The sequence below is a fragment of the Homo sapiens genome, chromosome 1 (assembly GCF_000001405.40).
Source record: "Homo sapiens chromosome 1, GRCh38.p14 Primary Assembly".
NCBI classification, from domain to species: Eukaryota; Metazoa; Chordata; class Mammalia; order Primates; family Hominidae; genus Homo; species Homo sapiens.
Genome location: NC_000001.11, coordinates 87,278,608 through 87,289,266, shown reverse-complemented (window position 1 = coordinate 87,289,266; position 10,659 = coordinate 87,278,608).

The window sequence follows — 10,659 nt, the reverse complement described above, 5'->3', positions numbered from 1 at the left end:
AAGCCACTAGCTCTATGTGGCCACTGGTCACTTGAAATGTGGCTAGTATGACTAAGGAACTGAATTTTAAATCTTAGTTAATTTAAATGTCAATACCCACGTGTGATTAGTGGTTACTCTATTAGACAGCAGAGTTCTAAAACATAGCGTTGTATCAGGTTACTTTATAATCATGTGCCTTTGCTAATTCTCTTCTTTTGTCTTTGGTGTCCTCCCCTCCCCTTTTTATTCCCAAACTCTCAACTATTCAAGAAAACCTCAGGAAGATGAGGCTGGGAAGGACTCCCGGACACTTCGCGTCGTGATAATCTCTCTCATCCTGGTTTTCTTTCAAGCATTCATTTATTCATTCCTACAGCTCCTTGCTAGGCACTGGAGATGGAAAGATAAATCCAGCTGTTACTATAGAGCTCACAGCCAATTCCTCTTCCAACAATCCAATCACTCCTATGCTACCCATTAGCCAGGTCCTAACTTCCTTTTCTTATAAGGACACTAGTAATATTGGTTTAGGGCCCAGCCTAATGACCTCAATTTCTCTTAACTACCTCGTTAAATACCCTGTTTCTAAATACAATTACATTCTGAAGTATTAGAAGTTAGGATTTCAACATCGGAATTTTTTTTTTTTTTTTGAGACGGGGTCTGTGTCGCCCAGACTAGAGTGCAATAGCATGATCTCTCTCCTCACTGCAACCTCTGCCTCCTGGGTTCAAGCAATTCTCCTGCCTCAGCCTCTCTAGTAGCTGGGATTACAGGTGCATACCACCACACCTGGCTGTTTTGTATTTTAGTAAAGACATAGTTTCACCATGTTGGCCAGGCTGGTCTGGACCTCTTGACCTCAGATGATCCACCCACCTCGGCCTCCCAAAGTGTCGGGATTACAGGCGTGAGCCACCGTGCCTGGCCAACATATGAATTTTAAGGGAGACACAATTTAGCCCATAGCAGCACTCTGCTTTAAGGACTAATACAATTCTTCCTTGCCCAAAGTCCATAGCGACCTTACATGCACAAATTTAACCTCACGTCAGGGAATACCAGCACACTATTCTAACTAAATCTTTCTCAAAAAATCTCTTCTGCTCTTCCTTCAAAAGCACAGCAAAAGACTCATTCAATTTAAATAACTAAGTAGAACATCGCATTATCTGCCAAGAGATTTCAAATGTCCTCAGGGCTTACTGAAAGGATAATGGGTGGAACTTGCCTTACATTTGTACAAAAGAACCAATCTTAGAAGAAGTCAGAGAATCAAACAGCTAGCAAACAACATCCAACTACCCATGGCTGCATCTTTACAAACATTTTAATGATAATAATATAACACACACAAAAAAAACCCCTTCTCTAAAACTAGCCAGAAGATTCTGGTGTATTTTCTTTCTTTCTTTCTTTCTTTTTTTTTTTTTTTTTTGAGATGGAGTCTTGCTCTTGTCACCCAGGCTGGAGTGTGGTGGCGCGATCTTGGCTCACTTCAACCTCCGCCTCCCGGGTTCAAGTGATTCTCCTGCCACAGCCTCCCAAGTAGCTGGGATTACAGGCGCCTGCCACCACGCCCAGCTAATTTTTTGTGTATTTTTAGTAGAGACGGGGTTTCACCATGTTGGCCAGGCTGGTCTCAAACTCCTGACCTCAGGTGATCCACCCACCTCGGCCTCCCAAAGTGCTGGGATTACAGGCGTGAGCCACCGCGCCCGGCTTATTTTCTTTTTAAAAATCAATGTCATTCCTTGGAGTCATCCCTTACTCATATGTACACACTTGCAAGAATACACATGCCCTATGCATACTGTGTTAGGACAAAGTTCTTCAGGGAGTAGCAGAAAACTCAAGACTGTGAAGCTTACACAAGGTAGAAATTTTTTTCTATCTCAAGTAAAATACAGTCACAACATTCAGGGTTTCAATGGAGGGCCACAGGGTCAGGGACCAAGTCCTTATCTTAGTGCACCACTATGTGGCTTCCATTCCTAAGGTCATCTTCTTTTCCACCATGACTACTCCAGTTCTAGCTTCAATCCTACATTTCAGCAAACAAGTGAGAAGAAAAGAAAGAATTTGTACGTGTGACCCTTGCTCACATCCCATTGGCTAGAACTTAATCACATGGTCACACCTAGCTGCAAGGGACTTTGGGAAATGTAGTCTTATTTATGACAGCTATATAGTCTGCTAAAAACTAGAGAGTGGTCATAAAAGGAAGGAGCATCAAAATAAATTGAAGTAGTATTGGATTATAACCCAAAGTATAAAACAAATATCTATGAGACCGGCTGATATAAATAAATGATTGCATAAGTAAATAGAGGGGAATAGACAAATCTCCTATGCAGAAAAATTCCAAACACTGTAATTTATTTACATATTCTACCCTTAAGGAGAGGAAGCATAATTCTCCACTTTTTTTTTTTTAAGATGAAGTCTCACTCTGTCGCCCAGCCTGGAGTGCAGTGGTGCGATCTAGGCTTACTGCAAGCTCTGCCTCCTGGGTTTACTTATGCCATTCTCCTGCCTCAGCCTCCCGAGTAGCTGGGACTACAGGCAACAGCCACCACGCCCGGCTAATTTTTTGGATTTTTAGTAGAAACGGGGTTTCACCGTGTTAGCCAGGATGATCTCAATCTCCTGACCTCGTGATATGCCCGCCTCGGCCTCCCAAAGTGCTGGGATTACAGGCATGAGCCACCACACCCGGCCAATTCTCCACTTTTAAGTGTGGGCTACATGTAGTGACTTTCTTCCAAAAGTACAGTTTGGAAAAGGAGGAAAAAAAATAAGAAACTTTACAGTGGAGAAACCTGACAAATACTACCTGAAGCCAGGTAATCAAGGTTAACATCAACAGTGATAAATCATGTTGATAGTATGTACCCTTGATATAATATGGTTAGAATGGCATTTTACCTCTGTGGTCCTCTTCCCCAAAACATATTACTTCAGTCTTATTATAAAAAAACATCAAACAAATCCCAGTTGAGGGTCATTTTACAAAATACCTGACCAGTCGGTATTCCTCACAACTGTCAAGGTCATCAAAAACAAGGAAAGTCTGAGAAACTGTCACAGCCAAGAGTAGTCTAAGGAGACCTGACTAATAAATGTCATGTGGCATGTTGGATGCGATCCTGGAACAACAGCAGCAACAACAAAGGACATTAGGGAAAAACTGAGGAAAACAGAACAAAGCATGGACTTCAGTTAATAAGAATGTATCAATACTGGATACTGGTTTATTAACATTATTATTATTATATTATTTTGAGACAGAGTTTCGCTGTTGTTGCCCAGACTGGAGGGCAATGGTGCCATCTCGGATCACTGCAAATTCTGCCTCCCGAGTTCAAGCGATTCTCCTGCCTCAGCCTCCCAAGTAGCTGGGATTACAGGCATGCACCACCAAGCCCAGCTAATTTTGTATTTTTAGTAGAGACAGGGTTTTCCCATGTTGGTCAGCCTGGTCTCGAACTCCTGACCTCAGGTGATCCACCTGCCTCGGCCTCCCAAAGTGCTGGGATTACAGGCGTGAGCCACTGCACCCGGCCCTGGATACTGGTTTATTAATAGCGACAAATGTGCTGTACCAATATAAGGTATTCATATGGGAAGCTTGGCATGGGATATATGGGAACCTTTTGTACTATCCTTTCAATAATTCTGTAAATCTAAAACCATCCCAAGACTAAGTTTATTTTTAAAAATAAAGGGAGATTCAAAATTGGAGGGCAACTAGCAATTAATTAGTTGTCCCACCCCACCTAGAAGCCATATCTTTCTCTTTGCACCTACAAATCCAAGAGATGTTCATGCTAGAGAGGACTTTCAAGGCCATTTGACTTATCTCTCAAGATGAAGAACAGAAAGCCTAAAGGTCCCATAGAAAGAGCTTGCGTCTTGCTGCCCAGCCAGCTGATGGGTAGAACCAGAAGCTAGATGGCTTGACAAGGGGCCAAGTGTTCTCTCCACCCCTCCACATTGCCTCCCAGTTTTCCAAATTCCATAGAAGATAGAAGTGGACTGGGGGGATATCTGTTAACTGTCTGGTGAAGGAGAAACCTCCACATAGTGGAAAGTGCTCTACCATTAACTGTCCTTTTAACAATAACGAGTCACTCCATCTCTCTGAGCAATAATTTCTTCACCTTGAAATGGAGATAGCGCTAACTGCCCTGCTTATCTTCACGGGACTGCTGTGAGACACGAACCCTATGTAAACGTCTGGCATTCCTATGTTGTAACAGACCAGCAGGGGCCTTTTGACATACTGAAGTTTTGTGACACAGTCCATCAGAATGGACCCAAATGCCATGTGTAGGCAGTATTATCTGTCTTTCAAAAATGGAATACAGAATCTGGTCATGGCACTTTTACTGTTTCTAATTCATTGCCGGAGGCTCTTTATTAGTAGGATGCTCCAGCGTCTCTCGGACACTGTCCTGCTCCCTGACCAACTGTTCAGGAGGTCCTTGCAGCCTCGTGTATCAGATCAGGAAAAATACAGAAGCCTGTTCAGTCCTCCATTGTTGCTTGGCTCCTTGTACCATACAGTGTTTCGACTGAGTGGCAGTGCTGCGTCATCTGTCACGTGAAAGTGATTCCCTAGGGAAAACTGCCTCACTGGTCCAGATCTCTGCACAGGCCTGGCAGGCTTCTCCATGAAAGGATGGTGCCATTTCCTCAGTGCTGGCTGCAGCCAAGAATATCCCACTTCTCTGCTCCCACCATGCAGCTCCCAACGCCCAGCTCTTCCCACTGGCATCCCTGGGTACTCATTAGCTGCAGAGGCACTGAGCTGGTGTTGGTTCCACTGTGTACTACCTCTGGGATCCAGAGCCACCTTCTCCCTTCCTTCCCAGGGCTCTACGTTTGCAGTTCAGTTGCTTTGTTTTTTTTTTTTTTCTCTTAAAGCTTAAACATCCAAAGTACTCTGCCCCCTTTTCTAAATGTTGAAGCTATTCACTTTCCCTATGATAGGCTGAGTTCCGTACCTCTAGGGCACCTTATACCCACTCTTTGGAGAGAAACCACCTTCAGCGACTCAAAGACATTTTAGCCATCTAAGACAGACTCCCCTACCCTTTGAGGGAGGTGGTGCTACTCTCAGTGATTTCCAGTGATTGAGGGTGTAACCCCTCAATGAAGAAAAGTGAGGAGAAGCTGATTGTACTATCTGGCAAGACATTTTGCTATAAACAAATAAAAAATAAAATTGAGTGCCTACAATGTCCCAGGTATTGTGTTTGGCATAGGTAATCAATCAGAAATCAATGAAATTTCTAGAAATTGTTCATAGAGATTGATAAGACACTGTCCCTGTCCTCAGAGAAGTTCAGAAACAGCTTAGGAGAGAAAGCAGACAGATGAGCACCATGCTGTTCACAAATATTATAAGAGGCAACTAGAGGACATGATGCCAACACAAAGGAGAAGCTCCAACCTGTCTTGCAGAAAACAGTCACCCACAACTAGTTTAGGTCTTCAAGGACCTCCTCGTGCCATGCCTTGGCATGGATAACCATCTGAGTATCAAGTAGAGGCACAGAAAGTGTGCACATCTCAATACTAACATCATGGAGAATAAACTTAATATGAAATCAGATAAGAAACACAAAGAAGGCAAGACTCTTATATTAGTCTGGATTCTTTTGGTTGTAAGTGACAGAAACTTGATTCAAACTAGTTTAGGCCACACTGGGATTCAGAATGATACTGGACCATAATCAGGAATAAGAGCAGGGACCCAGAAGCAACTTGAAAGTGAAGCTTAAACACCACCATGACTCTCTGTCATTCTTCTCAGAGGAAGGCTTCGCTGTCTTCCACAGACTGACTGCCTTCATGTGGTGGGGATCACAGCTCAGAAAGCCCCTGAATCCGGCATGCAGGGGCTGCTGCCATCAGAGGGAGAGAGGCAATCTTCTCTTGGTTCCAATTCAGAAAACCCCAGGGAAAGATTCTGATTGGCCTGTTTTCGATGGGTGTCCATCCCTAGACAAATAAACCATAGGCAGGGTTTGGGGAGAAGATAGGGTTGCGCTGCTTGGAAAAAGCCATGGCAACTCTTGTTGGTGTCAGTCCCAGAGATGGGGGAACTCTGAACCAAGAGCCACCCCAGCAGATATCTACTAATTCAATGCTCAGAACACTCGGGAGTGAAAGGTATCATTACTAAGAAATTGCACCCAGTTTTTTTTTTTAATCATTTCACAATTAAAACCTTAAACTAGCCCTAAAATACTGGCATAAATAGGCTAAATCTGTGTAACTACAAGCATATAGTAATACTTTCCTAATTATTTTCTAATCACCAGGAAGTTGACTAGGATAAATAAATATGAACTGCTTATGTGTGTCCAATATTTCGCTGAGCATTAAGGGGATCGTGTGGGAACAGGAGTTGGAAAAAGTAAGTTTCAATGCCTGCCTCAAGGAGCTTACCCACTACGGAAGTTACCTGGGACCAGAAATAGATCATGGAGATCATCTAGTCCACAGATATTTCCCTGAAAGTTCCTGAGAAGCCACCAAAGAGTTGGGGGAGGGGAGCTGGAGTGGTGGGGAGGGCGGATCATAATAGGTTGAGCTGATGAGTTCTGAGCTCCCGGTTCTTCTTCAGAATGTCTCCTGCTACATCTGCTCTGTATAGAGGCATATCACAAAAAATAGTGTTTGTAAAAAAGGTTTTTACTCCTTTAAAAGTGTTTGAACACTACAGATATAGTCCAGCTTCCTTATGTTGCTCCTGCAGATTTCAATGCCCAGATCTGCCTCTTACATGCATTTAATTGCCACATTTAAATAAGAACTGGCTGGCTAAGGCAGGCGTGGGTCTAGAGCCCTCTCCTCCTGACACCAGGCCACCACCGTTCTACCACCAAGCCTCACTTCACTTACATGAACAGCCAGATAAAACCATTGTCAAGAGGTCTCATGCAGAAATTCAAAGAAGAAAGATCCTTCTCTTGAGTCATTCACTATTCTACAGGGTAGTGAGTAGTATTGTATTAGGGTTCTCTAGAGGGACAGAACTAATAAGATAGGTGTATATATGAAGGGGAGTTTATTAAGGAGAATTGACTCAAAATCACAAGGTGAAATCCCACGATAGGCCTTCTGCAAGCTGAGGAGCAAGAATGGCAGTCGTGGCTCAGTCCCAATTCCAAAACCTTGAAAGTAGGGAAGCTGACAGTACAGCCTTCAGTCTGTGGCCGAAGGCCCAAGAGCCATTGCTGTAAGTCCAAAAGTCCAAGAGCCACAATTTTGGAGTCTGATGTTCGAGGGCAGGAAGCATCCAGCATGGGAGAAAGATGAAGGCCAGAAGACTCAGCAAGTTGGCATCTCCCACCTTCTGCCTGCTTTATCCTAGCCACACTGGCAGCTGATTGGATGGTTCGCACCCACATTAAGGGTGGGTCTGCCTCTCCCAGTCCACTGACTCAAATGTTCATCTCTTTTGGCAACACCCTCACAGACACACCCAGAAACAATACTTTGCATCCTTCAACCCAATCAAGTTGACGCTTAATATTAACCATCACTGTTATACTTTGTGGAAGGTGGGATAGGGGGAGAAGAGGAGAATAGAAGGGAGAAGAAAGCTGGCACGTCTGAGGCCTGCACCATGCAAGGTGTCAGGTGCTTGGCCTGTGTAGAAGAGCATGAAGTGAGACAGGAGCTGACAAGGAAGAATATAAAGGAGAAAGGAGTAGAGGAAAGAAGGATGGGAGAGGCAGGGGCCACACCAGCCAAGAAGTTCCAAGAATCACACTTAAAACAGATGTTTCTTCCTTTGTTTTTGTGTCACAGGTTTGAAATCCTCAAGTCACCTACTCAACATTTTCTCAGGAAATCATAATCAGACCCTTTAAAATTTGCTGTAACTGCAAATGCTTATATTCTAATAGCAAATGCTTATTGACAGTCATTGTGTGGCAGGCACTGCGCTCAGGGCCAGACAGAATATGGGCAGCTTGGGTTGGCTCACCGTTTGGTGTCACTACAAACCAATATCCTATTGACCAACAGTCGTTTTCTGAGGGTGAGAGAAACTGATTTTCTGTTAATATAATTCATATTCATCGATCTTGATGTTCAAAATAAGAGACTTATTTCATGTACTGAAACATTTTGACTTAATTAAAATTGCCTTCCATTTCACTTATTTCACTCTCACAACTGAATAGTGTTCTTTTCAAAGCATTAAGATAACATACTGATAGAGTTGTAAAATCTTGTTCAAATTTTGCTTAAAAATCTAATTTCTCTGACTTTCATGTTGACAGAATGTTTCCCGTGTTTTTGTTCTTGTTTTCTGTTATGATTCTTTAAAAGCAGACAACCCCGTTTGGGAAGCCTAGTATCAGGATTCTAATTTAGATAATAGCATAATTCTCCAGAATACAGCCATAAGCCCGGCATCATTTGGTTTTAGATTTTCAGCTGGCTATGACTTCCAGCTTCAGGCTGGGTGGTGGCAGAACCTGCATGTGTCCCATGCAACTCAGCCACACTGGCCAATCAGGATAGTTTTTTTCTCTATTCCAAGGGGCTGTCTATTCCGGCAGGACAGAGCCAATTCCATTTCGCCAGGATGACGTGTAGACACCTGAGTTACTGGCACCATGTTTATAATTTATTCCTGGGGTATTTGGTCTCCCTTCAGCATGGACCCATAGACCCTCAGGCAGCTGCCCTGATGGCCAGCTCTTAATCTGGCTTTGACTGTGCCAGCTGTTCACATGCATTTAATCCTCACAACAATGGTAAGAAAATAAGTATTATTATACCCATTTTACAGATTAATAAATTGAAGCTGAGAGTGATTAAGTAACAAACTAACTGGAAAACAGTAGAGTCAGGGTTTGAACCAGAATATGTCATTTCAAAGCTCATGCTCTTACAGTATACACGACTCTATACTGACACCTCTTGGTAAGTTAAGTACATCTTTCACTTATATTCCTATTTTAGAGTTTCTGCCAAAATTGCTGTTTTTAACTTGAGACCTACAAAGTCAACAGCATTGACTTTGGGTCACTAGCTCTGTCAGTTCTACCAAGACAGCAGTGTGTGGCGTAGTAGTAGTAAGAGCCCAGGACTAGGAGGCCTAGTCTATGGGTCACAAGGCCTAACACATAGTAGGTGCTTTGTGTAGAATTATGAAGCACAAGTCACCTGTGTACATTTGATTATGACTTTCTTCTGAGTATTTAAGAGACCACTTTAATTAAAGATCCTGCAGTTTATACCTGCATCACAAGGGTTGTAAAACACTGTAGTGTAGCATCAAAAACTACCACCATTTACTGAAAACGTATTAAACTTCCTACATAGTACAGGAACTGAGGAGCAAGGAGAGTGTAGGAGACTTTTGCTCAAAGTAGCCTCTGCCTCTAACTGCTATTTTATTCAACTTGTCTTCCCTTCTAACTTTGTCCCAGAAAAATCTCTAGGGAAATGAAATTAAGCTGTTTCCCAGATTTACTTTTCAAAATTAGTCCTGGGCTGGCCTTCAACACTGCAAACACATTCTGTGTAGTCACAAGGGAGGACTGCATTGAATTCTTGGACCAACTATGAAGCTCTGGGGGCCAGACAAGCTGAACAGGCTCAAGAAAAACACAGAGTGGGTGTTTTGTGCTAATTACTGCCCACCACGCTGGTCTGTCCAGGGGCGGAAGCCTCTTTCCTGTGCCCTTTTGTTTGTCCTTGCCCTTTCCTGCTATTAGAAATAATATCTGTTTTCTGCCTGTGCTTGGGTTTTGGGCTGGGTAACTGTTACCCACAGTAACTAAATCAGGCCATAGTTTTGCACAAATACCCAGGGACCATCATCAGAATTAGGGCAGTTTCCCAATCTAAATGGTCCTCCTTCACAGAGGTGGGAGGTGGCGTGGTTTTTCTTGACACATGGGCTGCCTGCTGTGGTTAGTCACCCTGTCTGAGGGCCCATCTGTAAAAGCTAGACATCGTCAAGGACTTGGCTTCATCATTTTCTTGGGACGAAGAAATTCAATTTTAAATCTGCATATTCATCATTCTGGAGAAATAAACACAGTGTGAAACTAACTAAAATATTTAATAGTCAACATTTAATAATTCCCCAATCATATGTGGAATGAGATTTCATTCTCAGGAATTGTAACACTCATACATATGTAATTATACAGGCAGTATTCAAGAAAGCTATCTTTCTTTCCCATAATAGATTTTCTTTCATTCTATGTGAGTTTTCAACAGATTGGCCCCAAGAGGAAAATACCGCCTACTCTGTCCTTTCCTTACAGTGCTGAGGTCATGGTGTTTTAAGCATTACTGGAATTTCCTTTGTATCCAAGTCTTTCTTATCTTCTCATCCTTAAAGTCATCTTTTCACTGACATTCTCTCTCAACACAAACAAAGCAACAACAACAATTTTTTAGCAGAAAATATCTACATAAATTCGGATTTTGTTCAGGTAAGAATTACTCCAGAGGGAAGTCCTCATCTGACACCAGTCCTCTGCTTTTTCTTAGCCATAGAAAGATGCTCAGCTCTGGGCAAATGTAATCTCCTGGTGCCCATGGTGAGGAGGTGTTGAGGGAGCAAATTTTAGGAGTCTGATATCAGTGACCGTTTTGCCAGTAAAATTGTGGATTTCAACACATCTTCTTTTA